The sequence below is a fragment of the Homo sapiens genome, chromosome 14 (assembly GCF_000001405.40).
Source record: "Homo sapiens chromosome 14, GRCh38.p14 Primary Assembly".
In the NCBI taxonomy this organism is placed as follows: Eukaryota; Metazoa; Chordata; class Mammalia; order Primates; family Hominidae; genus Homo; species Homo sapiens.
In genome coordinates this window covers 96174950-96201438 of record NC_000014.9, presented here as the reverse complement: position 1 = coordinate 96201438, position 26489 = coordinate 96174950, and the positions used below count along the sequence as shown (strand labels likewise).

Genomic DNA, 26489 nt, shown 5'->3' with positions numbered 1-26489 from the left:
CTCTGCGTCCCCAATGCGCCTCCCAGCCCATGTGCCCATGCGTGCCATCTCTGGCCTGCCTTCTCTGCCTCTGGCCTCCCTTCCCAGAGGCCTCCTGCACAGCCTGTGGGGGCACTGTCCTCTGGCACAGGCATGAGCCCCCCAGCCCTAGCCCCGCATGGCGACTCGCTGCCAAGTGATCTCTGTAGCAGGCCCTACGTAAGCACACGACCCTTCACAACAGCCTGATGAGATGGTTACCAGTCAGTATCCCCATTTTACAGATGGAGAATCAGAGGCTGAGAGGAGTTACTTAACTTGGCCTAAATCCTGCACAGTGGAAACAGCAGAGCCAAGAGCTGAGTCCAAGTCTGACTCCATCGGCATGTCTTCCCCTTCCCCAAATGAAAATGCAGCTTTTTAAAAAAGCTGGTCATGGCTGGGTGCAGTGGCTCGCGCCTGTAATCCCAGCACTTTGGGAGGCCGAGGCAGGCGGATCATCTGAGGTCAGGAGTTCGAGATCAGCCTGGCCAACATAGCAAAACCCCGTCTCTACTAAAAAATACAAAAATGAGCCAGGCATGGTGGCACACATCTGTAATGCCAGTTACTCAGGAGGCTGAGGCAGGAGAATCACTTGAACCTGGGAGGTGGAGGTTGCAGTAAGCCGAAATTGCACCACTGCAGTCTCGCCTGGGCAACAGAGTGAGACTCTGTCTCAAAAAACAAAAAAAACAAAAAAAAACAGCTGATCATATACATAATATGGATGTATTGTTTCTCTATTATTTGAACTTAATGTGTATGATAAAAAGTGAAAATCAACTGAAAAGTGTACAGCTTGGAGATGATTAAGAATTTGATGCCAGCTGGGCGCGGTGGCTCACGCCTGTAGTCCCAGCACTTTGGAAGTCCAGGCGGGTGGATCACTTGAGGTCAGGGGTTTGAGACCAGCCTGGCCAACATGGTAAAACCCTGTCTCTACTAAAAAATACAAAATTAGCCAGGTGTGGTGGCAGGAGCCTGTAATCCCAGCTACTTGGGAGGCTGAGGCAGAAGAATCCCTTGAACCCAGGAGGCGGATGTTGCAGTGAGCCGAGATTGCGCCACTGCACTTCAGCCTGAGTGACAGAATGAAACTGTGTCTCAAATTAAAAAAAAAAAAAAAAAAAGAATTTGATGCCATGTTTCTGTGTGTTTACATATATTCATTATATAGTGTTATATATGTCCGTACTTCAATATATCCCACTTTACATGAACAGGATCATATTATGTATGCTGTTGTTGTAAGCGGAATTCCGCCCCCCCCTTTATTTTTTTTTGAGACGGAGTCTCGCTCTGTCCCCCAGGCTGGAGTGCGGTGACACGATCTCGGCTCACTGCAAGCTCCGCCTCCCGGGTTCAAGCGATTCTCCTGCCTCAGCCTCCCGAGTAGCTGGGACTACAGGTGCCCGCCACCATGCCCAGCTAATTTTTTGTATTTTTAGTAGAGACGGGGTTTCTCCGTGGTAGCCGGGATGGTCTCGATCTCCTGACCTCGTGATCCGCCCTCCTCAGCCTCCCGAAGTGCTGGGATTACAGGCGTGAGCCACTGCGCCCGGCCGAATTTCCCCCTTTTGTATTGCTGTTTCTTCTTGCACAGCTCCGCCTCCAGCCACCATCCTTTCCTTAGCATTCACGGAAACGTATGACAGGCAGGCCAACTACAGAATTTGTGGGACTCCGTACAAAGTGAAAAATGGGCCCATTCCTCAAAAAGCAGGAAAGAAGTGTTGGTAAAGGTATTAAGCCATAAGGCTTTTTCCTTTCTTCTGTGGTCTCTCTTTTGACTTGTCATGACAAGTGTTCTTTTTTGTTGTTGTTGTTGTTTTGTTATTTTGAGACCAAGTCTCACTCTGTTGCTCCCCCAGGCTGGAGGGCAGTGGTGTGGTGTGATCTTGGCTCACTGTAACCTCCACCTCCCGGGTTCAAGCAAATCTCTTGCCTCAGCCTCCCGAGTAGCTGGAATTACAAGTGTGTGCCACCATGCCCAGCTAATTTTTGTATTTTTGGTAGAGATGAGGTTTCACCCTGTTGGCCAGGCTGGTCTCAAACTCCTGACCTCAAGTGATCTCCCTGCCTTCAGCCTCCCAAAATGCTGGGATTGCAGGAGTGAGCCACTGCTCCTGGCCTGTCATGGTGTTTTTAAAATTTGCTGTTTAATGTTGTTCTAAGTATAGAAAAATTAAAACGTTAAATTATTAGCATGCATTTACCATTCACCTTGAGAGTATAGAAAAATTAAAACGTTAAATTATTAGCATGCATTTACCATTCACCTTGATATCACTCAATGCCAGTTATAAGCACAAAAACCAGTGCATTTAGCTCTTATTTAAAACCACCAGAATTGTGCCTATTTCACAGCTTGCAGAAACACTGCAGAAAACAAGCTCATCTGTTTTCCTTTCACTTCTTGGTATGTGCACGTTTCATCAGCACTCTCTACCTTCCTCTCACAGGGAGTGGGGGGACTCAAAGGAGCAGGAACTCTGGGGCCCTGCCCTCCCCTTTTCGGTGGGTGTGGTTGGCCAATGTAGGGAAACAACACCAGTAAGGAAGGATGTGACCGGGTCTCTTGCCTTGGTATCTGTTAGAACGCCGCTGCCTTCTTTCTGCCTTTGAAGCAAGTCCTGGTTTGAATGGAAAGCGTGGCCTCTGGATGGAACGCCTTGGACTCACTTTGAGTGTCTCTGAACCGGGCACCACTGCTTCCAGCAGAGAGACTTGGAGTGACGAGACTCTGGAGAAGTGAGCCCTACCCTCCACCTCTGGGGGTTGCTGGGCAAACAAGGGAGAGAGGGAATGCCCAGTTCCTCACCCAGGGCTTGGCAGGGACTTCCCCAACTCAGAGACTTTTCTCCACTCTAACACTTAAGAAATTGAAGTGGGTAGATTTAATCTGCAATTATTCTTTCCCTTGAAAGCTGGTGTCTTATAAATAGAGGTCCTTAGTGTTAAGAAAATATGCAAAGTCCTCTGAAGGGTTTATGAAATGCGTTTGGAAGAAATAAACGCTTAAAGCAAGCAAAGTCCTGGCTATTCCTGGTGCAAAAACCTCCAGAAGTGAGATGGAGAGGGACCTGAGGTGGGGGCAAGGTGAAGAAGAGGCCAGTCCTTCCTCTGTCCGTCTATCCCTCTGCTGCCCTGGGAGGTGACGGTGGGTTCCCAGGTTTGGCGGGAAGTAGCCCTCAGCCTGGCAGTCGGCCTGGCCACTCTTCCTAATTCTATCCTTGGCAGCGGGGCTGTCGTCTGCAGGTCTGGAGAGGCAGTTACTCACTTCCTGGTGCTGGGACGTCCGCCTGGGGGATTCTGAGGCAGGGGCAGTGGGGCTGGTTCCTCCCCTCGCTTCCTGGAATTCCTCAGACCCCTCTTCTGGGACTGACAGCTGAGCCAGAGTCCCAGGCTGCCCGCTCGGCCTGCCCATAGAATAGCCCTCCCCACCCTTATCTGCCCTCCATATCCCAAGTTCAGGTTCCAGCCTATTGGCCACCAGAGGTGGCACAAGGGGCCTTTGCCTCCGAGAAGACACAGGAGTGGGGGTTGGCACCTGGCAGGAGCCCTCCATGATCTAGCCATGTCCACCTGGTCCGCCTGTCTACCAATCAGCTCCTTCACCTGACCAGGCCTCCAGTCCCCTGGGGCCCTGTTCTTGGCTCACACTGTGCTTGGCGTGTGCTGTTCCTCCCCTGGACTCCCTTCCTCACAGCGCTGCAGACCCAGTCCCATTGCTCTCCAGCCCCGCACGATGTGCCTGCTCCCGAAGCCCGCGTTCCCTCTGAGCCGCTTTGTCACAGCCTCTTACTGTCGGTCTGTGCCTTCCCAAGTGACCCATGACTTGTCTTCCTTCAAGGCCCTGGGCCAGGGACCTCCTGTCCTCTGATCACTTGTCACCAGGGTGGCTGTAACCCCCCGGTCCACCCATGCCCTTTATAACACAGAGACAGCACCTGCTGCACGGCTTGTGAAAATTAGATGAGACGATTGCTACAAGGCAAGCAGCAGAGCGGCAGGCCTGCGGCAAGGACTGCACAAGACAGCCACGGACCTCGCCTTCAAGCCCAGCGCCGCCACTCACAACCCACACAAGCCTGGGCAGGAGCCCCAGGCTCCTCACCAGTAGAATGGAAGTATTAATATGAACAGGTCCATCACAGGGCTACTGGGATGGCCAGGTGGGAATCTGCGTAAAGCCCAGTCCTCACTGGATTACTCCTCTCTTCTTGGCAGTGGCCACAAGCACCCCTTCTTTTCCTCCCTTTTGAAAAAATCAAGGCGAAACTCACATAACATAAAATTCCCCATTTTAAAGTGTATAACTGATTGGCATTTAGTACATTCACAATATGGTACAACTATTCCTTCTATCTAGTTCCAAAGCATTTCATCACCCCCAGAGAGGACCACATTGCCCACTAAGCAGTTGCTCCCAGAACCCCCTCCTACCCCCAGCCCCTGGCCACCACCAGCTGACTTTCTGTTTCTATGGATTTGCCTGTTCTGGACATTTCGTATAAATGAAACCTTACAATATGTGAACTTTTGTGTCTGACTTCTTTCACTTAGCAAAACGCTTTTGAGGCTCATCCGTGATATGGTTTGGATATTTGTCCCCTTCCAATCTCATGTTGAAATGTGACCTCTGGTGTTAGAGGTGGGCTGAGGGGGAGATGACTGGGTCATGGGGGTGGATCCCTCAGGAATGGCTTGGTGCTGTCCTCACAGTAATGAGTTCTTACACGATGAGCTCCCTCAAAAGCTGGTTGTTTAAAAGATCCTGGCACCTCCTCCCTCTCTCTCTTGCTTCCTGTCTTACCACATGACACGCCACCTTCCAGTTGCCTTCCACCACAATCAGAAGCTTCCTGAGCCCTCACCAGAAGCAGATGCCAGCACTGTGCTTCCTGTACAGTCTGCAGAACTGTGAGCCAAGCAAACCTCTTGTCTTTATGAGTTACCCCGTATCAGGTATTTCTTTCTTTTTTTTTTTGAGACGGAGACTTGATCTGTCTCCCAGTTTGGATTCCAGTGGTGCAATCTCAGCTCACTGCAACCTCTGCCTCCCAGGTATAAGCAACTCTTCTGCCTCAGCCTCCTGAGTAGCTGGGACTAGAGGTGCATACCATCACACCTGGCTAATTTTTTTGTATTTTAGTAGAGACAGGGTTTCCCTGTGTTGACCAGGCTGGTCTTGAACTCCTGAGCTCAGGCAATCCACCGGCCTCGGCTTCCCAAAGTGTTAGGATTACAGGCAAGAGCCACCGTGCCCGGCCAGGTATTTATATGCAAACAGACTAACACAATCCATATCGCACCATGCGTAGGTACTTTATTCTTCTTTAAGGCTATCTAAATATACCATGTTTTGTTTATCCATTCACTAGCTGATGTACATTCAGGCTATTCCCATCTCTTGACTATGTGGCTAATGCTGCTAGGGACAATCACGTACAAGTGTTTGCCTGAGTCTGTTTTCCATTCTTTTGGGAAGACCCAGAGAATTGCTGGGTCACGTGGTTAACTCTATGCTTAACTTTTTGAGGAGTGGCTGGACTGTTTACTCAGTGGCTGCTGCACATTCCTACCAGCAATATCCCTTTTGTCTTTTGATCTCCACTCTCAGGTTCAAACACAGCTCACTGAGTCTGGAAGGACACTGACCCAGGGGCAGTGGAGTTTCTACCCACTCAAGGTGCCAAATGTCACCGTGAGCATCACCATCCTGTCCATCCCTGTGTTGGGAGAGTATTTCATAGTGCACCAAGGGACGTTCCCATGTTCTACTCATCTGACCTTATAAACAGGCAGAGGCGAGTGACCTTCCCAGGGCCGCCCAGGTAATGCGTGGCCATGTTGAAGCAGGAATCCAGTCCTTCTGACCCCAGTGCCCTGGTCTGCAGCCTGGAGCTCCAGTCCTGAGCCAACACCTTTCCCTGGGAGCTGCCCGCCCTGCACCTTCCCCCTCCCAAGGCTGGTGCTTCAGCCAGATCCTGATTTGGCCCCCATAAAAATGCTCAGACCTCCCTGGGAGAGAGAAGCCCTCTAAGTACACAACATTCTGGGTCACATTCCTCGGCTTGGGGTGACGTCACTTGATCTGTAGGCCAAGGGCCTCCAGCCAGGTGTCCTTCACTGTTGAACAGTTCCCCTTCAGGTCTGTTTTCTGAAGGTGGCCCCCTCCCTGCTCCGTGGGTGGATGGCTCACCTCCAGGCACCCTGAGGCCAGCCACAGCCACCCTCTGGAAAAAGGTCAATCATCCAGCTCCTAAGGGCTGAGCACCTGCTCCAGCCAGGCCCTGCCAGGCAGGTTATAGGCACCATCCCCAGACCACATGGACAGCTCCTGAGTGGAAATTGCTGCACAGTGTCCCTGATGAGGAAACTGAGGCTCCTCAGAGGCTCCCAGAGGACCTGAGCTCATAGCCCCCTCCCCACGGCCATCACCCACCTCACCCAGACACTCTGACCAGGGGTCTCCTCTGGGACTCTGGCCGGTTTCTCACTTCCCCTCCTTTGCCTCCCACACTTCGGCCACACCTTCATACAGCTGCTGGAAGGGCCTTTTCAATTAAAGAACTTAGAAAACATTGCACAACAGTACAGTTCACTTTCTGTGGTGTTTAGTTACGTGGGTTTTGACAGGTGCAGAACCACGGCTCTGGCCCCCTGGAGCAGTGCGTCACCCTCGTGGCCTGCGTGTCCCATTTGTGGTCAAAGTCCTCCCAACCCCCAACCCCTTGGCAACCACTGTCCAGAGAAATTTTTAAGAAGGTATGCCATCCTCTGGTTTCCACTGCACCCACAATAAAACCCAAACACCCTCTCACCTTGCCGGGTGTGAGCCCCAGGACCCCACATCTCCGACCGTCTCTCACCAGTGCCCCACACCTCCGACCGTCTCTCAGCAATCCCCAGCCCCCATCACCACCCTCTGCAGGCCTCCTCACCTGCCCCGTGCTGCCGCAGGCCACTGGCTATGTCAGGAAAGCTCTCCCCTTGCCCCCCATGTCCAGCGCCTCTCCTCCCCAAGGCACAAGCTCAGTGGCTCCTCCTCAGGGGCCTCCCCTGCCATCCTGACGAAGACGGTGCCTTCTGCCCTCCCTATGCAGCAGCTTAGGGAGGTGCCTTCTGCCCTCCCTGCATGCAGCATACCTCCTCTATGGAGTGGTGAGCTTGTTGATTTGCTGTTCTCCCGTGTCACCATGAACGTGCAGAGGGCAAGGGCTGTGTCTGTGCCATCCACTGATCCGCAGGCAGGCACATGCCAGGTGCTTGATAAACACCCCTTGGCCAGAGAAAGAGAGGCTGCAGCCAGCTGTGAACCCAGTTTCTGGCTGACTCCTCAGTCTATACCCTTCCTATTCCATTTCATGGATCCCCCAGAATTCTCACTCATCTGCCCTTCAAATGGCCATGGAAGCCACCTCTGTCCCCATGTGCCAGCCTAGGACTCCCTGAGCTGGGAAGCTGGTCCCGCTTTCTCCCTGTCAAGATGAACACCCCCAGCCCTCTACCCGCTACACATCGGAGGTGGCAAAGGGTCCCCTGGTCTCCTGGCGAGTCATGAGAGTGGCAGTCCTGGGAGATGTGGCAGTCCTGGGGGAGGGGTGCTGGACGGAGGGAGGAGCCAGCCCCGAGACATCAAGGTGGCCCTGAGCAACACATCCTGTCGCTCCTGCCCCGTAAATAGACACCACCTTCCTAAACGTGGCCCTGGAACGAACCCCAAGGGGTAGAGTTGGAAGCAGAATCCAGAGTCCCCTGTTGCCAGGAATAGCCAGGGCCCCCTGCAGCAGAGCCCATGTGGGTGGAGGCTGTTAGATTGGCCGCCCTTCCGGGCACCGAGCTAGGCTCTTTTCCCAGACCAGATGATTCAGAAAGTGAGAAGGTGACCTTTCCTTTTCTGAAGGTCCCTTTTTTGATTCCAGGGTTTATTTGGGGACATTTTTAGCAATCTAATGGAAGCAAAAGTGAATTACGTTGTTATGGAGGTTGGCACGGTGCCTGGCAAAGGGAAGTGTGTCGTGAATAATTATTGATTGAATCACAAACGCCTTCTTCCCCTGAATACGGAGTGCTTCAAGACAAACAATAGAAACCCAGGCGGTCTGTGCATCTCCTCCACCCGAAAAGGACTCAGCAGTTCTCTGGCTGGTGGGGGTCAGGGGAATTCTAGGGGACAAGCAGCCAGGAATGATGGTGCCCAAACGTCACCTCAGAGCTGCTCCTGCGTAGACACTGCCGCTGCCTCTGTGGTCACAGATCTGGAGTTGCTGCTGCTGCTGAGCCCTGGCCACGCTGGACAGTCTCACGCTGCCCCAATGCATCTGGGAGCTGGCTGCAGCTTCTGCCACCCTCCTTGGACGGGTTCCTAGTGTGCTCACCTCTCCCCATCACTGGCTCCTGGTTCAAAGGCCCATGTGGGAGCATCCTATGAGGGAATCCTGGTTACCACCTGCACCCCAGGTGCAGAAAAGAATGGGAGAGCATTTGCCACCCTCATCAGGTGGAGAATCCCCACACCCAGAAAGGGTGTTCAGAGAGGCAGGAAAGACCCACAAGAACCAATACACTCACAACGACCCCGCTCCAGACCTCCCATATTTGGGCCACATGTCCCTGGCATTCTCTGCCTCTGAGCCTTTGCCTGAACAGCCCCCTGCACTTAGCAAGATCCACGCTGTGTATTTCCCCATCTTTCCATGTTACAAGTCCCACCTTCTAGAACGTCTCAGCGCCAATGTCCCCTCCTCCAGGTGTCCCTCAGCTGGAAGGAATCTTTCGTTCTCTGAACTTGCCTGTCTTGCATCAGTCTCTCCACAGGCTGCCCAGAGCTGCCCCCGGGAGGGGCTCTGCCCAGCCCCAGGTGTCAGATGAGCAAACTTCTGTTCACACTCCGGCCGCTGCTTGCTGTAATGCCTGCCCCAGAGTTGGTCCCCTGAGCTGCTCACCCATACCAGTGCCATGGGTCCTTGGGCAAGAGGACCGCTTCCTACCCCTCCCCACCATCTGAGCCCCTCCTAACGAGCTTCATCCAGTGAGGTCCTGTGACTTAATTCCATCCAGCAGGCCCCATCCCCACTGCATGGTCACTGCACACAGTGGCAGCGCCACCAGGCTCTGAGCCTAGAGCCACCCTCCCTTTCCTCACTGCCTTTGTGTTGTGCCCTTTGGATCCCATGAGGACAGTAAGAGCCCTTCTGATGTCTGTCCCTGCTGCTCTTCCTGCTTGGCAAAACATTGACATCCCCAAGGATGGTGTTTGCATAGTAGAATGATTTATAATACTTTGGGTATATATCCAGTAATGGGATTGCTGAGTCAAATGGTCTAAAGACCTGGGATCAATAGAAAGGAAATGTTCAGGTTAAGATAAAAGTTTGTGGAGACCAGGGTTCTTTTGAAGTCTTATATTGGCTGCCCTTAGAGACAATGGATGACAAATCTTTCCTATTCAGATCTTTAAAATGTGCTAGACTCTTAGTTAATCTCTTCAGGATTGGGAGGGCCTGGAAGAAAAAGATCTAGCTATGTTAATAGAGATTCATTTCAGATGCAAATTTTCCCTCACAAAGGACGGCTTTGCAGGGCCATTTCAAGATACAGCAAAGAAAAATGTTTTGGGGTAAAATATTTTGATTTTCCTCCTTATCTCATAATATTATGCCAGAGTCAGGTTGGAAAGTAAGTCACGATATATAGGGTTAAATAAAACACATCTGATGAGAATGTATGGTTTGTAAGGCATGACTCCCAAGACCCCTTAGATAGGAATTTGGGCAAGATTGAAAAATCAGAGCTTAGTCCTCAGAAAGGCCCCCACCGGCATTCCTAGCTTGCTGCTGGATGTTTCCTCCATGAAGCACTCTTGGCACTGAGGCCAGACCAGCTGTGCAGACCCTGGGCCCAGCTCACTATGCAGTGTAAGCAGGTGGCCAGCAGCACTGGCCATTTGAAGAAACCCACTAAACAAGCAAAGAGGAAAGAGACCAAGAATAAGCAGTGAAGACTATCAAAAAAAATTAAATTATTATTAAAACCTCACAAGGATAAAATATTGCACCCATTAAATAATCATTCTACTATAAAGACACATGCACACGTATGTTTATTGCAGCACTATTTACAATAGCAAAGACATGGAACCAACCCAAATGCCCATCAATGGTAGACTGGATAAAGAAAATGTGGCACATATACACTAGGAATACTAGTCAGCCTTAAAAAGGAATGAATTCATGTCCTTTGCAGGGACATGGATGAAGCCAAAAGTCATCATTCTCAGCAAACTAACAGAGGAACAGAAAACCAAACACCGCATGTTCTCACACATAAGTGGGAGTTGAACAATGAGAACACATGGGCAGAGGGAGGGGGAACAACACACACCAGGGCCTGTCTGTGGGTAGGGGCAAAAGGAGGGAGAGCATTAGGACAAATACCTAAGCATATGGGGCTTAAAACCTAGATGATGGGTTGCTAGGTGCAGCAAACTACTATGGCACATGTATATCTATGTAACAAACCTCCCCCTTCTGCACATGTATCCCAGAACTTAAACTAAAATAAAAAATAAAAATTAAAAAATTAAAAAAGGAGGAATGCCAAAAAAAAGAGAGAAACTCAACCAATTGTCAACCAGAAAATGTTTAAATGTACCTATAGCCTGAAACACCCCTCCCCACCACACACTTTGCGTTGTCCCACCTTTCTGGACCAAATCAATGTATTTCTTAAATGTATTTGATTGAAGTCTCATGCCTCCCTAAAATGTATAAAACCAAGCTGCACCCTGACCACCCTGGCACATGTTCTCAGGATCTCCTGAGGGCTGTGTCATGGGCCGTGGTTGCTCATATTTGGCTCAGAATAAATCTCTTCAAATATTTTACAGAGTTTGACTCTTTTCGTCAGCACTTCCAATGTCAGCTCTGCAGGTGTTCCCTCTAGAGCCCTGCAGTCCCTGCCTGACAAGCATATGCCTGGCATCGGCCTTGTGGGAACAGGACCCAGAAGGAGCCTGGGGTGCCAGAGCTCCACATACAGATTTCCATGGAACCCTAAGCTGTTCAGCCTCATGCCTCACCTCTAATCTCTCCCATTTAATTTTCCCAGAGAGTAAAGCTAGTGTAGGGGCTGGAGGTATTTAGTGGGGGAAGGGAGAAGAAGCTATTGCTGGAGTCAGACCTCTTGGTCTACTCTTTAATGTTTGGGTCAGAGGGAGCGTAACAGAGGCTAGAAGGAGGGGACTGAGAACACAACCATTTTGCAGACAAATTTTTATCCAATCTCCTTTTTCTTGAGTCTCATATCTAACGCCCTCCTTTTGTGACACCTGCCACTTCAAAACACTGAGCACCTAGATTCTGTGGTCAAGTGGCTTGTTGACGGCACCCTTTCCTCATGCCCTTGGGTGGACACCGTCTTCACTCTGCTAGATCCCTGGCTTGCTTTCAGTCAACTAACAGTTTATTGACTCTCAGCTGCTACTGCAGCATCTTCTGTGTGCTGTGTTCTTGTACAGCAACATCTTTTGAAAAATCGCAACACCTTTACTAATATTTTTAAAGGGGTTTTGGGAGAGGGAGCACACTGACGTGTGATGAATCTGCCACTTTTAGCCAATACTGTCATTTAATTTTCTGCCTATAACCCTCCTGCCTTCCAGATAAGTTACTGGACTGCTCACACTGCGTCTGCCTTCCCCCTCACTGGTGCGATGGCCGTCGGCCCCTCCCTGTCCCTCGAGCACTTCCACATTCGCTAGGGCACTGACGATGGGCCTCCCCCAGCTCGGTCCCCTGGCCACTTTGGCTGAAGTGTCACTTCTCCCAGAGAAGCCTGCCTGACTGCCCAATCTGAAGTAGCCCACAACACATACACATACGCACACACACAGAAACACACGTCACACATACCAGCACACACATACCAACACAGACCACACACAACACCACTGCTGACTCAGAATCACCAGCTTTGGCAGCACCCCACGGGCTGCCCAGAGCCTCCCAGGGGTTCCCATCTGCTTGTCCTTCACACCCTGACACCTTCTAGTTCCCCATCATCCCACGCAAATAACCTTTCCTGCTACTTTACAGACAAAACAGAAGTGAGGACTCCCCCAGCTGTTCCCACCCCCAGCACAGAGCTGCCACCCACCTCTCCGGCCTGGATAAGGCTCTGCTTCCTACAAAGTGTCTTCACGGCCACATTTGCCCCTTCCCCTCCTGGCAGCCCAAGGGCCCTTCCAAAAGCGTAAGTCAGCATTTGTCACTTAAAACTCTACCGTGCTTCTGTTGCTCTTAGAGTAAGGACCAAGCCACCGGTGGTGCCTGGCTCCTGCTATCTCTTCTTCCCACTTTCACGCTCTCTCTCCTGTCCCCTGGAGCTTTCTTTCAGTTTCAGAGAGATCTTGGACTCAGGACTTTTACATTTGCTTTCTCCAGGAGTGATGTTTAAAATCTTTACCAATGGCAATATGATGGAACAGCCTCTTGGAGACCTCTTGGTCTACCAGGAGTTTCCTCTTTAACGTTTGGATCATAGGGAGTGTGTCAGTTACCCACGGCTGCCACAACAAAGTACCATAAATGGAGCGGCTTAAACGACAGGAATTGATTGTCTCACAGTGTTGGAGACTAACAGTCTGACATTAAGGTGTGGGCAGGGCCGGGAACCCTGTGAAGGCTCTAGGGGGAATCTGTTCCAGGCCTCTCTGTAGCTTCTGGTAACTCCTTAGCTGTGGCAGCAGAACTCCTGTCTGCACATCGCATTCTCCCTGTGTGTGCGCATCCGTGTCCAAGTTACTCCCTTTTATATAAGAACACATTGGATTAGGGCCACCCCAATGATCTCCTTTCAACTTGATTGTCTGCAAAGACTCTATTTCCAAATAAGGTCATGTCCACAGCTACTGGGGGTTACAACATCAACTCCTTTTTGGGGGACACTATTTACCCCATAAAAGGAGATTCCAGGAGCAGGGGTTGGGGTGAGCTGAGTGTTGGGATGGGATGTGGGAAGGTATCTATTCATACATAAGGAAGTATGTTGGTATTTAATATCCAGTGTGTACTGGCTAAATCTTTCCTCTGCTAGTCCTGGAACTCTCCTCGTTACTTTTTTTTTTTTTTTTTTAAGATGGAGTCTTGCTTAATCACCCAGGCTGGAGTGCAGTGGTGAGATCTTGGCTCACTGCAACCTCCACTTCCTGGGTTCAAGCAATTCTCCTGCCTCAGCCTCCTGAGTAGCTGGGATTACAGGCACCTGCCACCACGCCCGGCTAATTTTTGTATTTTCAGTAGAGACAGGGTTTCACCATGTTGGCCAGGCTGGTCTTAAACTCCTGGCCTCAAGTAATCCACCTGCTTCATCACTCTTCCCTGCATCTGGCAACACCCATTTATCATTCAGGCCCCAGCTTAACCGTCGGTGCCCCACAGAACCTTCTCTGGAAGCTCAGCCTGCAGGGGCTTGTTGCCCTGCCATGTGTATCCACTGCGCCTGTACCTCCCTGTCTTACTTTGTGTCTGCCAAGAGATTACTCCCCTTCCCTGGGCACCTGGAGCTGAGCAGGTGCTCAGTGATTATTTGGATGGATGTCTTTTCTCCCTCCCATGGAGTCCTGGAGGCAGCGATCTCATCTTCTATACATCACTGTCTCCAATCCTGTGGTCACTTGAGAAAGGTGGATGAGTAAAAAAATGATTTTATGTGTGCATGGTTACCCAGTCAGCCAGTATCAGGCATATGAAAACCTTGCTTGGATTTTCACTCTGATGGATGGAATGGAACGCGTAGATAAGCAGGTACAGGACTTTTGTGGTTTTGGTTTTGGAGTTTTGCTGTGCAAAAAACGTCTGGCCTCTTGCACTCCAGAGTGAGAAGAAATGAATGAGCTCCATGCAGATGGGTGACCTTGGGCAGGCCACAGAGGCCTGGAAAGTCCCCCAGGGAATCCGGGCTCTCTAGACAGCTAGTGGATGCCTGAGGGCTGTGCCTGCTGGGCAGGGTCCCTGCAAGAGGCAGTTAAGAACAATGACTTGTTTGGAGAAAGGCCCCACTGGGGCATGGGTTTCCTCCGGGTGTTTGGGAAGCTCCACCAGCACAGCTGTAATCTTGCCAGCAGTTCAAAAGGGTTGGGAAGCTCAGGCCTGGGTTTGCATTCTGCCCTTCTGTGGACCCTGGAAGGGAGGACACCTTTCATGTTCCTTCACCAGGAGCGACCTCACATAAGAGGAGGGCTGATGGGGCACCACATGCCACAGCTGGGAGCCTCCTAATCCTGGGGGCGGCCAGTTCCAACCATCACCCTGATTGTCTCATCTTCCATAGCCGGGTCCCCTGGCCACTTTGGCTCAAGTGACACTTCTCCCAGAGAAGCCTGCCTGACCGCCCAATCGGAAGTAGCCCACAACACATACACATATGCACACACACAGAAACACACGTCGCACATACCAGCGCACACGCACCAACACAGACCACACACAACACACACATACACATCACACAGATAAACCACACACAATGTGCACACCAATGCAAACTCCACCAACATACACATCACACAAACACACGTACACACCCCATGGATGCTACGCACGCAGACACACACATGCACGGAGGCTTTGACCTCTATCTCTTTACCATTGTTTGTCTTCCTCGTAGCCCTACCACTGTCCTGCTTTTGAGGGCCATGGGTTTACTCGCTCACTGGAGGTGCTCCTTCACTAGAACGTAAACTCCAAGACATCAAGGACCTTGCCTATCTCGTTCACCAGTGGACTCTGAGCTTTTAGAGCAGTGTCTGGTGCATAGTAGATGCAGTGGGCTATCTCCTAGAATGAGTATGGACTTTTGGTGGCCCCTGGCCTGCCAGGCATCACCACTATGCTCACTGCTGCCCTAAGCTATCTTACAACAGACAAAGTAGTCCATTCCCAGCTCGGAAATAAAAGCCTTAAATTGCACATGAAGCTTCTGAGAGGTTAAGAAACAGCCTCTTGGGTGTTTGTGGCATTCTCAAATCCACTTGCAGACACAGTGGTGCTAAGATCAGATGTTGTGGAGTCTCAGAGGTGCTGTGTGTCCATCTCATCCAGCCCAGAGGCTGCTAACCCAGGGCATAGCCCGTGTGACCCTGAGGAGGAGCTGACTGAACTTGGATGGGCTCTCTCTGTCCTGGAAGCTTTCTGGGGTCCATGTCAGCCAAACCTCCAGAACTCGGGGTGCTGACACCCAAGCCCTCTGAAGCATGGTGAAGAGAGGTCCCCTGTGGTCCCAGAATGGCAGGCAGGGCAGCAGCCAGGGAGGTGGACTGCCTGGTCCAAATTCTGCCTCTGCCTCTGCTGCAGATCTCAAGGTACTTAGCTTGATTTTTCGTCTGTTCAATGCAGCTGCAACAGAACCTATCTGCTAGGCTTGTGCCAGGATTCAACAAGCTAATGCATGCACAGTGCCTGCATGCATCTCTCAGGAACTATTATTCTGGGTTCTAGGCAATTGATCCATGACCATGGGTAGGAGGAAGCTTCCAGAACTGCCTTCCTGCATCTTTGGAGGAGAATGTGGCATACTTGAGTCAGGTTAGTAAAGGCTGAAAATAGAGGCAGCTACGTGCCCTGTGTAATGTCCAGATCCTGGCACTACAGGGACGTTGCTCCCTTCCCTGCCCCCGCCTCCCCAAGGTCACTCTGGGTCCCACCACATCTCCTTAATATTGTGCTCATTTAGTGCCTCCTCATTACTCATGAGGGCAACAACATCAGGACAGCTCAAGGCTTTTCGTTCTCTGTGGCTCCAGGTCATGGGAGTTCATGCCTGGCCCTGGGGCTTGGCCACTGACTGGGGAGGCTTTTGCCTGGACCGGGACCCACACAAAGATATAGTCTAGGGGCATGTTTTAAAAAACCATGGAGCCAGCCAGGAAGATTTTACCTCCTCACCTGCCTACCAATAATAATACAAGATTATCAGCTATGAGTCAGCCTCTCCTATTCCTTAGAACTTGGCTTAAGTCTTCTTATAATAGTTATTTAATCCTCAAACACAACTGTGAAATAGGTATTACCAGTCCCATCTTATATATGGGGAAACTGAGGCTCAGAGAGGAGCAGTGACTTGCCTCAGGTTACACAACTGAGAGACAGAAGGGTCAGCTCTTGCGGGCAGGTCCCCTATCTCAGCGCCCACCCAGGCTCTTCACATTCCCTCCTCCCCTGACCTGGGACAATACCTGAGTCTCTGGTTATGCTCTGGGCAGATGGCACCGTAAGAAACCAGCCGAGTGAGGGGTCAGAGGGAGACTGGCTCAGTGAATGTGCGCGGGGCCAACACACTGGGCAATGGCTTCCACTGGCAATGACAGACCAGTGGGGGAGAGGATTGAGGCCCGGTTGACATTGTGCCTCTGACTCAGGCATGAAATTCCCCACGAGGTCGGGGAGCTGGAAAAACACCAGTGTTGTGGGAAAAACATTGGGAGGGCCGCGTGCATACAGCCAGATGGTTTCCATCTTGGCAATGATGGAACTTGGGCACCAGGGAGCAGATGGAAATCCTAGGGTTTGATGTGGGTAAATGTGATCATTAACACCAGCCTCCTTGTTTGCTCTCTCACTCTCTCACTCTGTCTCTTTCCCTTTCTGTCTCCGTCTCTATCTCCCTTCCCCTCTGTCCTTGTTGGTGAGAGTTCTCCCTCTGAATCTAAGGTTTACTTTGCAAGCAGATTTCGCATCTGTTTTTTTGTCTATGCTTCTCATTGTTTTTTTCTGTGTCCTTTTCTTTGGCTTCTCATTTTCCCCTCATGGTTCTTACAAAGTTTTTTTTTTCTTTTTTGAGATGGAGTTTCACTCTTGCTGCCCAGGCTGGAGTGCTGTGGCACAGTCTCGGCTGACTGCAACCTCCCCCTCCTGGGTTCAAGTGATTCTCCTGTCTCAGCCTCCCGAGTAGCTGGAATTACAGGTGCCTGCCACCACGCCTGGCTAATTTTTGTAATTTTAGTAGAGACAGGGTTTCACCATGTTGGCCAGGCTTGTCTCGAACTCCTGACCTCAGGTCATCTGCCTGCCTCAGCCTCCTGAAGTACTGGGATTACAGGCATGAGCCACTGCACCTGGCAGTTCTTACAAATTAATCTCTGGTATCCCCAGTGCCCTATCTCCTCAATCTTCGTCAGACTATAATTTAGTCTTAGCGTTTTTTTTTATTGTCCTGCCTTCCAAAATTCTGTCAGTCTTGTGTATCATTCTTTCAGATCCCCTTATCTCGGCTAATGAAATATAGAGAAATGCATTATTCTATTCAGGATTCATGTGCACTTTCTTGGTCAGTGTGCTGGGGTGAAATGCTTTTACCAAAAGGCCAAGGTCCTACAAAATGGCTAGAAGTTGGGTTGGTATCTGTTGACCAGAAGGCTTTTCCTGGTTCCACATCATGGGATGCCTCCTCTAGGTACTGAGATAAAGGCCTTTTTGATTGTAGGTGTATTCATTTACGTGAGGACTGGCTTGCAATCTCTCGCTCTCACGTAACAGTCCTGGAGCGAGCCATTCAGCTTGTCAGGGTGGTGGCACTCCATTATTCTCCAGGTCACCTTGGTCATTTCTGTGATTAGAGTTGGGTCACTGCCATGTCCAGGTTCCAGCTTATGAGAAAAGGAAAAAGAGAGTGAGAAGGAAGCGTGCCCTGAGGCTTAAATTCTAGACCTGCAAATAGCACATATCACATCCAAGATAGCCTGGGGAGTGTTATCTAACTGGGCAGCCCATCACTGGCTACATGCCTGTAACTAAGAAATCAGGGGAATAAGTTTTGGCGGACAGCTAGTAATCCTGATCACACTGAGCAACAGGAGAAACCATTACGTTGGCTTCAACTCATCTCTGCCTTCTTTGTTGGGAAGGGGGTGCTGGGCACACCTTAGGATTCAAGCCATAGGCCAGTCCCATCAGTGGCGTCTTTATATAAAGAAGCCAGGGATTTCTTGGGAAATAACTCCTTCTAGCGGAATAATCCATTTTTGCTAAGTTCAAGACAAAAATGGCCAAAATAGGAGAAAAGAGGTTGTGGGCACAGCCTGCTGTCTGCCATTTAAGCGTTGTTTTGGCTCAGTCCCATGGACACACATCTAAGTCAAAGAGGAGGTATAAAGAAAAGCAAGTCAAAACCAAAAAAAACTCCTCAAACACAGGTGAAAGAAGCATCTTTTGGGGCAAGTCTTCCAAGGGTAACCTACCAGGGGACACTTGCTGTGCCAGCCAGTACTCAGGTCCACATTTCTCATAGTAGTACCCCAATTGCCTTTTGGTGGCCTTCTGGCTCCCCAGTGCACGAAGTTTCATTGAGACTTAAAATCAAGTGGTTGGCGTATGACTGAGTTGGGCCAATCAAGTTCCTGGAAGAGCAGCTTGACCCTTGAGTGCGTGTAGGTGAGGATGGACAAGAGTTAAGGCTTTGCAGACTAAACTGGCTCCTGGGGGTTTCAGACCTGTTGGTGAAGTTCTATTTCTTGACCTGGTTGTTGGATCCATGGAGGCCAGTTTATTTGTATATTTTTGAAATGATACTGATATGTTCTGAATATAATCTCTTATGTGTATGACGTAATTTGATAACAAAAACAAGGATGCAGTGGTGGCTGGTGATCCTGCTTGTCCAGCTCTGAAGAGGTCGCTGGCTGGTTCCTGTTCCTGGATCTCTGACCCGGCTGCTCCTTGTCCTTCCCAAGACCTCGCTGTTCAGGCTCCTGTGATTCTGGGAGACTTTCCAATTTTTCCTCTTTCTCATCCTCTTCTTCATGGTCCTTCTCTGCTTCCTCTCTCCCTCCTCCTTAGATATGCCAGAATTGGTTTCTGTTGCTCATAATGAAAACACCCTGCCTGAAACAAAGAAAATGTGATGTGAATGTGTATGTGTGAGTGTTTGTGTATGTGTATGTGCATATATGAGTGAGTGTGTGGGAGAGACCCATTGAGGACAGCTGAGTCCACTTCTACAATTGCAGTTAAGGAAAGAGGGAGAAGAATCCTGTTTTATATTTGTGATCCTGATTTTACCTCCAGGCTGGCAAGGCTGGCATGGCATGGTGCGGTGGCTTAAGAATCACTTGGGTTGGAACGGCTGAGTAGTGGGTTTTGGCTCTGAGCCACCGGAAGTCCTGGCAGTGTGAGAAGGGGCAGTCAGGCCAAGGTGCAGAAAGACGTAGATGATTGTGGATCGCATAGTCAGGGCCAGGGGGCCTCCGACAACCCTCTGATCCAGTCTCTCACTTTATAGAGGAGGATCCAGAGCCAAAGAGGTTAAGGAATATGACCCAGGCTACACAGAGAATTAGCCTCAGAGCGGAGTCTCCTCTTATTAGAAAGGAAGGAGGGAAGCTGGGGGGAGACCTGGGGGCCTTGGCATCTGAGATCAGGATGTTCGGCTGGATGGTGAGGGTTGGGGAGGGAAAGGCTAGGAGGGGCAGCAGGGACGCTTGGCTACGTGGCTGAATGTCCCGGGTGGGGTTGCTGCCACAGGCAACCTGCTTTAGTCAGTTTCCCATCATGGATTGTGTAATGATGGAGACATTTTTGAGTGTGAGCATTCGTCATGCAGCCAAACAATATGTGATCGGAAATGAGAAGGAACGATCATTGTTGTGTCCAGCTGGAAATACATATTTGGATTATAATAGATATTCATTTATTTAGTCTTTTAAATTGTATGCAGGCCTATGACATGCCCCAACCGCAGGCACTGGGGACTCCATGTGAACAAAGCAGGCTCTGTCGGCTCCTTGATGGAGGACATTGATTTTTGGGAAAGATGAATATTAAGCACAAGGTCAGTCTTTTAATCCTATTTGGGCCTTCAACTGATTGGGTAAGGCCCCTGTACACTGGGGAGGGCAGTCTGCTTTACTCAAAGTCTGCCCCTTTAAATGTTAATCTCCAAAAACATCCTCACAGCAACATCCAGAATAATGTTTGACGACACATCTAGACACAGTGGCTCAGCTGATTTGACACATTACATTAATCATCATGGTGTGTATTTATGGGGTGTGGTACATGATCCAATGGGCGTTTCCCAGGGCGCTCTGCTGTTGTGGGAGATGGACCTGCATATATGTATGTGTTTGGTGTGCACGTGTGTGGCTGGCGTGCATGTGTGTGGTTGGTGTGCATGTGTGTGGTTGGCGTGCATGTGTGTGGTTGGCGTGCATGTGTGTGGTTGGCGGGCATGTGTGTGGAGAGGTACAGAAGGAGCAGCCCAGGGGAGAGATGAAGGTGACTGTTCGAAGATGGTAGGAGGGAGGTGGTGATGCTGATTCTGTTTGGAGAGGTGTTTACTAGCTGGAATTGTAGGACTTCATGAAGGACTGGGCGTGGCTGAGGGAGTTGGAATGTCAGGGGGTCCTCAGGCTTTGTGTTGAAGCTGAACAGACAGAGAGGCCGATTGGAGAGAGGAGCCTAGGTTCTGTGTGAGGCGGGATCAGCTTCTGCTGGGCAGGCCCTGGGAGCTGGGCATGAGTCTCCAGTCGGGTGCTTTCTCACCTTCCTGTAATCATACAGGGCCCCCCCGCCAACCCCCATTCACTGCTCTTCCTGCCTCCTGGAGGTTGGCAAACTCACACTGGTTGAATGAAACATCTCCAAATCTTCTTCTGATCCACAGCCACACACATCCTAGAAATTCCCCTCAACACGCCTTTTACTGCTCGCTGCTGTCCAAAGTGATTTCTCTCTTCCCTGAAGTCCCACAAACCTTACGGTGTGTATTATCCAATTTACTAAATGGCTTATTTATCCTTTAATGTTCTTTAATTTGTAATGGCTCAGATTTGAAGTGCTTTTTATGGGCTACTGATGTCACATATTTCATTTAAATGGCACAGCATGCCTTACGAGGTAAGTAGCTGTCAGATTAAGCTGGGCTGCAGCAACAAATACATCCTGATACCTTTAAGCAGCATGGGTTTATTTCTTGTTCACATCATAGGCCACTTGGCTCCCTCTCCAGGGTCTGACATGGGGACCCAGATCTGTTCCATCCTGGGTCCTGCTGGTGGCTCTTCCATCTCATGGTTTCCTGAATGCCTTAGTGCAACTCAATAGCATGGGGGCCCTGGAGGGTAAGGAGGGAAATTGGAGGACCATTGGTGGGAGATTCTATGAGCCAAGCACAAAAGCGGCATACATCACTTCCTCCTACATCCCATTGGCCAGAAGAGCGTCATGTGGCCTCATCTAGCTGCAAAGGAGGCTGGGAAATATAGTTTAACAATATGTTCACAAAGAGGAGAAAATTGATATTGGCTCCAGTAAGAGTGTGGTTATTTCTGAGATGAGAAATAGGGGCTCAGCAAGGTGAAATGAATGGCCCAAGGTCACAGAGCCAGAAAGTGGGGATGCTGGAACCTGACTTCAGGGGTCAAAACATAGCAAAGTATAAACAGCAAAATATTACCTGAAAATGACAGGATATAAAACAGTATGCAATTTCATCCCACTTACATTACTTTTTACATTCACACACTTGCCTAGCAGACTGGAAGAAAATACACCCAGTGTCATTGGGCTATATCTGGTTGTTTGGACTATATGTGACTAATCTTGTCATCATGTTTTCAAAGTTTTCTACAATGAGAAAACAGGTGTCATTACTTTCTAAAATTGGTTGACTGATTTTCTTAAAGCTAAATTATTTATTTCCATAAAGCCCTGTCACAGGGCCAAAAAAGTTGCCCAGTGGGGCAGGTGATAATCACATTCTTCCTAATAGTAATAATTTCTTTCGTTTATGATTTCAGTTCTTTATAGTGTTCAGTGGACTCTTGCATATTTCATTGGTTCTTTTATTTATTCTATTCTCCATCAGCTCTGATCCCACCTCCTTTCTGCCAAGTGCTGGCAAGGCTCTGGATGGCGCAGAGGGGAGACAGATCCTGGATCATGCATTTGTGTATCCCTGAATTCAGGAATAAAGTCAGGAGTGAATTGATGGAGTGCCTTCCTGGTGGGCCCAGGCTATGAAGGGCTTCGCACATCATGCCGTGGGGTCTGGGTGGCTTCCTGTTGGCCTAGGTGTGCGCTGGAACAGAGTCAGAAGCTCACTGAGGTGAGGGATGGTTGTAGCTGGGTGAACATGAAGTTGAGGGCTCCGGAAGACATCTGGGGAAGGCCGCTGAAGCCCAGGACATGCCAGGGGTCTAGAGACCAAGGTCTGATCTGAGACCAGACTGTGTCCAACCCAGGGCTCTGTCTGGAACTTCATTTCTTAGCCACCAGATGGCCTGGCTGCTGGGACTTTCCCGCTGTGCCATCTTCAAGCACATGGAAGGGCTCTACCTGCACGGGTGGGTCTAGAGCCCTGTGGGTTTCCCCCAGCTGCAACTTTGGAGCAGGCCGGGAACTCTGCAGGCAAACAACTTGCTTGGATTTATCATTTGTGTTGCTCAGCATCTGGGAGCATAAACAAGGCCATGGGTGCCAGCTGTGGTTACCTCTTAGCAAGGATCAGGATGTCTGTGCAAAACCTGTCACCCTGACTCGCTGTGAGTGGGTGTGGGGCATGCACACGTGCACCCATGCACACACATATCACACACAAACACACTCACACTGCTACAGCGCAATTGAATTCCTTGCCCCAAATGCAGAGCTGCTTTGTATGTCTCCCTTCTCTGCATTCCTGGTGTCAGGGAGCTTCCATTTTTTGCTGAAATCAATTTAGGAGCAAGAAAAAAAATGAATGTGGAAAGTGTAGCTGCATTTCCAAACTGCTTTTGTCAGGGGAACAGGGTCTGGCTCTGTCACCCAGGCTGGAGTGCAGTGGAGCGATCATACCTCACTGCAATCTCGACCTCTTTCCTCAGTCTCCTTAGTATCTGGGACTACAGGCAAGAGCCAACATGCCTGGCTAATTTTTTTTTTTTAAATTATTTGTAGAGATGAGGTCTGGCCATGTTACCCAGGCTGGAACATAAACTTTAAAAAATTTTGTAAGCAACCAAAGCCTTTTTCCAACAAAATCTTAGATTGATAAAAACAAAGTTGCTCAGGTTGAAGCCAGGTAGGGCCCAGAGCCCTGGTCACTGGGCAGCCCCCCTCATCCCCCAGTGTTGTTTAAGAAATTCTGGAAAAACACAGATGAGAAAGGACAGGCACTGGCAGAGGAGCTCTCGGAAGGAACGCCCTGGGCTCAAAGATCTGCTCAGGGTCCTGGCTCTGCCGCGATTTGTGTGTGGGTGGAGCAGGGTACGCCCCACCCTCTCAGGACCTGAGCTTCCCCTCCGTGTACTGAACTTGTGATGAAGCCTGGCATGTGAGCGGCCTCAGGAAACCCCCCTCCCCTGCCTGTTTCTCTGTTAAACCCAAGTGCTCTCTGAGTCGGTTTCTAATATTGTGATTTCATGGTGGAAGCCTCATCACTGATAAAATAGGACACTATAAAAAGTTAAGCAATATTTAGGGATAATGTACTGGCCTTCCAGAAGAACTGCAGTGGCTATTTGCACGCTCACCTCCTCCTAAACTCTGCCTTCAAGCTTAAGCCGTTATGCACTTTTGGTCTTCAAAGCTATCTTAGGAAACTTGGGACAAAGCAGAGTAAGAAGGGACTTTTGACTCACATGCATCTGTGTTAACTCTTTCAAGGCCAAGACTGCCATTTTCAAAAATTCAATTGAGATAGAGCTGGAAGGGACCTTTTTTACATTTTACAGATTGGGCAACTGAGGCCCAAGGGGAGGGGGGTCAAGTTAGTGGCAGAGCCAGCAGGTGCTCCGAGGGCTCCTGACTCTGTATGGTGCAGAGAGTTTAAGAGCAAAGGCTTCAAAGTGAAAAAGACCCGCCATGGAATCCTAGCTCAGCCAACTAAAAACCAGGAGATGGTGGGCAAGTTATTTAAACTCATTGAACTTCATTTTTATCCTTTGATCAGTGAGAGTAATTCCCAGTTCGTAAGGCTAATGTTGGAATTAACTAAGATGATGGTTATAAAGTGCTTGGCCTAGTGCCAAGCCCAAGAAAAGTGCTGGAAAATGTCAACTGTGGTATTATCACCCCCATTGTCTAGATTAGGAAATCAAGGCTCAGGAAGGTTCAGCTCCTTGCTGTGGCGTGATCCCGGAGTTTGTACCCCTGACCACGACACCACATTGTTTTCGCAGAGGGACAAAACTGCTTTCCAAATTTCTTTCAATAAGAGCATTGTATGTCTTGGAAATAAATTCCTGGACAGGCACTTGGAATGGAAGCTGAGCCCCCAGGGCCTGCGTGTGGGCAGAAACATCCTCCTTCAGACCACGGGAGATGCTGACTACTCTGATGTGTGTGAGCATGTGTGTGTGTGTGTGTGTGTGTGTGTGCACATGCACTCACGCTGAGGTCAGTGGGGTGAGAAAAAGAGAGGAACGGTGAGCCCCAGCTTGGCAGAGAGCAATGCACGCACACTGCCCCTCTTCCTCCTGCTCCTCTGTGCCTTAAATTGCTCAACTCACAAAATTTGGCAGCTGAAGCAAAGCCTGAGCTTCACGTTCAGAGAGCTGAGGCCAGGAAACAGTCAGTCCCTCCGGGATACAGGAGTGCAGCGCTGGAGATTCAAGCTGTCAAACAGCCAGAAAAATCATTTTGAGGGTTGGAGGGTGGGGTGGGGAGGAATCCTTGGGAGGCTCAGTGCCCACACGTTGGGAGTTTGGGTGAAATTCCTCCAAATCCCCAAGAGGCAGGGAGACCCCAACTAAACCCTTGGTTTTGTGTATGCAAACCAGTTAAATTAGTTTTTCAGGAACCTGGATAAATGGCCTGAGAAAGTTGCTCTTCCCATCCATGATGGCGGACATCCTTCTGCTGAGTCTGTTGCCCTGGGGCACTTGTCAGTATGAGCGCTCAGCCCCAGGACCAAATCCACCAAGAATTAAATGTCCCTTCCCCTCAGCTTCTGGCAGAACCTTAGCCTCCTGAATCATCTGAGACTTTCCACTTCCTACAGATGCTCTGAATATTTCCTAATCTGACCCCATCACCCATCCTTCCTTGCTTATCCACCCCTTCCTGTGAGCCATCCAAAACTCTTGGTTTATCATGAGTTCTGATCATTTCACCCTCTTATACCATCCCAAACTTGGCTGTCTGTTGAAAGTCCTGCTTTCCCCCAAATCTTCTTACGTGGCTAATTCTTTCTATCACACTCCATAATTGCAGGATCTGGAAGTAGTAGGGCCAATACCTTCCTTGCCCTCCAGCCAGTCCCCTACCTGTCTCCTTCCTTTTCAAAGCCCCTTTGACAGGCATGGTCCTTCTTCATGACCCCGACTCCTGCCAGCTGTCATTTCCTGACTGCCCCATCACCCTCCTTGCTCACCGATATTGTTAGTACTGGATTCACTGGCTCTTTCTCCACCACCACCCCCATCATGGTTCTTGGCACATGAAAATTCATAGATCTTAAAGCGGAGCCTGAGGTTGGATTCTTGCTCAGATGATTTACTGGGGAGTACTCCCATGAAAAGGGGGGCAAAGGAAGCAGGATACAGCAGGTGGAAAAAGCTAAGCAGGTGGTCTGGTTGGAGCCCAGCTTCTGCCTCATCCCATGGGGGGCTCTGGCGCACCAATGAGTTAGTGCCTCTATCTCCGGGGCAAACTTTGTGGCAGCCATGAGGCTGGCATTGGCCAAGGTCTGCAGAGTGCACAGAGCACAGCCTCCTGGGGTCTGGAAAGGGCTTGGACAGGGCACCAGCAGCAGCCACTTCGCTGTCTAATCCCAAGCATTTCCAGTTGCCTGATCTCAAGGGACAGCCAGTGATCATCTCTGCCACCCAGCCCAGCCACCCATCGAGTCTCGCTCTGTTGCCCAGGCTGGAGTGCAGTGGCACGATTTTGGCTCACTGCACCCTCTGCCTGCCGGGTTCAATCCATTCTCCTGCCTCAGCCTCCAGAGCAGCTGGGATTACAGGCATGTATAACCATATCTGGCTAATTTTTGTATTTTTTTTAGTAGAGACAGGGTTTTACCATGTTGGCCAGGCTGGTCTTGAACTCCTGACTTCAGGTGATCCACTTGCCTTGGCCTCCCAAAGTGTTGGGATTGCAGGCGTGAGCCACTGCGCCCAACCCCCATTCAGTCTTGATTCCAAGAATCCCTCTTGCTATCGTCTCCTATTTTTCCACCTCATGACCTTCCAAAACATCTCTGCCCCAACTCTGCTCTTCCTCAGCCCTCACCTGGAAGCTGATTATGGCTGGGAAACATCGTACAATGCTGCTAGTTGCTCTCACTTTAAATTTAGGAGCACAGATCTCTAGAGGGCAATGAACACTTTCTCTAAATCCATCACACTTCCCTAGAAATGTACTCTTTCACTTTCCTAGTTCACCACTCCTTCCTCTACATCTTCCACGGTGCTTTCTTCTCTCTCTCTTGGCCAGTGGCCTCCTGTCATGTTTGATAGAGAGAGTCTATGTACTCAGATGAGAAGT

General features: G+C 50.0%; 8 annotated features.

The window, feature by feature from the left end:
- Nucleotides 3061-3667: an enhancer, noted in NCBI's record as "H3K4me1 hESC enhancer chr14:96664109-96664715 (GRCh37/hg19 assembly coordinates)". NCBI's record gives its function as "activates a minimal SCP1, AML or CMV promoter by ChIP-STARR-seq in naive H9 embryonic stem cells {active_cell/tissue: H9 hESC(naive)}" and the evidence as "EXISTENCE:reporter gene assay evidence [ECO:0000049][PMID:30033119]".
- Nucleotides 5458-6065: an enhancer, noted in NCBI's record as "H3K4me1 hESC enhancer chr14:96661711-96662318 (GRCh37/hg19 assembly coordinates)". NCBI's record gives its function as "activates a minimal SCP1, AML or CMV promoter by ChIP-STARR-seq in naive H9 embryonic stem cells {active_cell/tissue: H9 hESC(naive)}" and the evidence as "EXISTENCE:reporter gene assay evidence [ECO:0000049][PMID:30033119]".
- Nucleotides 6066-6673: an enhancer, noted in NCBI's record as "H3K4me1 hESC enhancer chr14:96661103-96661710 (GRCh37/hg19 assembly coordinates)". NCBI's record gives its function as "activates a minimal SCP1, AML or CMV promoter by ChIP-STARR-seq in naive H9 embryonic stem cells {active_cell/tissue: H9 hESC(naive)}" and the evidence as "EXISTENCE:reporter gene assay evidence [ECO:0000049][PMID:30033119]".
- Nucleotides 6496-6615: an enhancer, noted in NCBI's record as "active region_8984". NCBI's record gives its function as "activates an Ori minimal core promoter by ATAC-STARR-seq in GM12878 lymphoblastoid cells {active_cell/tissue: GM12878}" and the evidence as "EXISTENCE:reporter gene assay evidence [ECO:0000049][PMID:35858748]".
- Nucleotides 6674-7281: an enhancer, noted in NCBI's record as "H3K27ac-H3K4me1 hESC enhancer chr14:96660495-96661102 (GRCh37/hg19 assembly coordinates)". NCBI's record gives its function as "activates a minimal SCP1, AML or CMV promoter by ChIP-STARR-seq in primed H9 embryonic stem cells {active_cell/tissue: H9 hESC(primed)}" and the evidence as "EXISTENCE:reporter gene assay evidence [ECO:0000049][PMID:30033119]".
- Nucleotides 7282-7890: an enhancer, noted in NCBI's record as "H3K27ac-H3K4me1 hESC enhancer chr14:96659886-96660494 (GRCh37/hg19 assembly coordinates)". NCBI's record gives its function as "activates a minimal SCP1, AML or CMV promoter by ChIP-STARR-seq in primed H9 embryonic stem cells {active_cell/tissue: H9 hESC(primed)}" and the evidence as "EXISTENCE:reporter gene assay evidence [ECO:0000049][PMID:30033119]".
- Nucleotides 9108-9715: an enhancer, noted in NCBI's record as "NANOG-H3K27ac-H3K4me1 hESC enhancer chr14:96658061-96658668 (GRCh37/hg19 assembly coordinates)". NCBI's record gives its function as "activates a minimal SCP1, AML or CMV promoter by ChIP-STARR-seq in primed H9 embryonic stem cells {active_cell/tissue: H9 hESC(primed)}" and the evidence as "EXISTENCE:reporter gene assay evidence [ECO:0000049][PMID:30033119]".
- Nucleotides 25253-25753: an enhancer, noted in NCBI's record as "H3K4me1 hESC enhancer chr14:96642023-96642523 (GRCh37/hg19 assembly coordinates)". NCBI's record gives its function as "activates a minimal SCP1, AML or CMV promoter by ChIP-STARR-seq in primed H9 embryonic stem cells {active_cell/tissue: H9 hESC(primed)}" and the evidence as "EXISTENCE:reporter gene assay evidence [ECO:0000049][PMID:30033119]".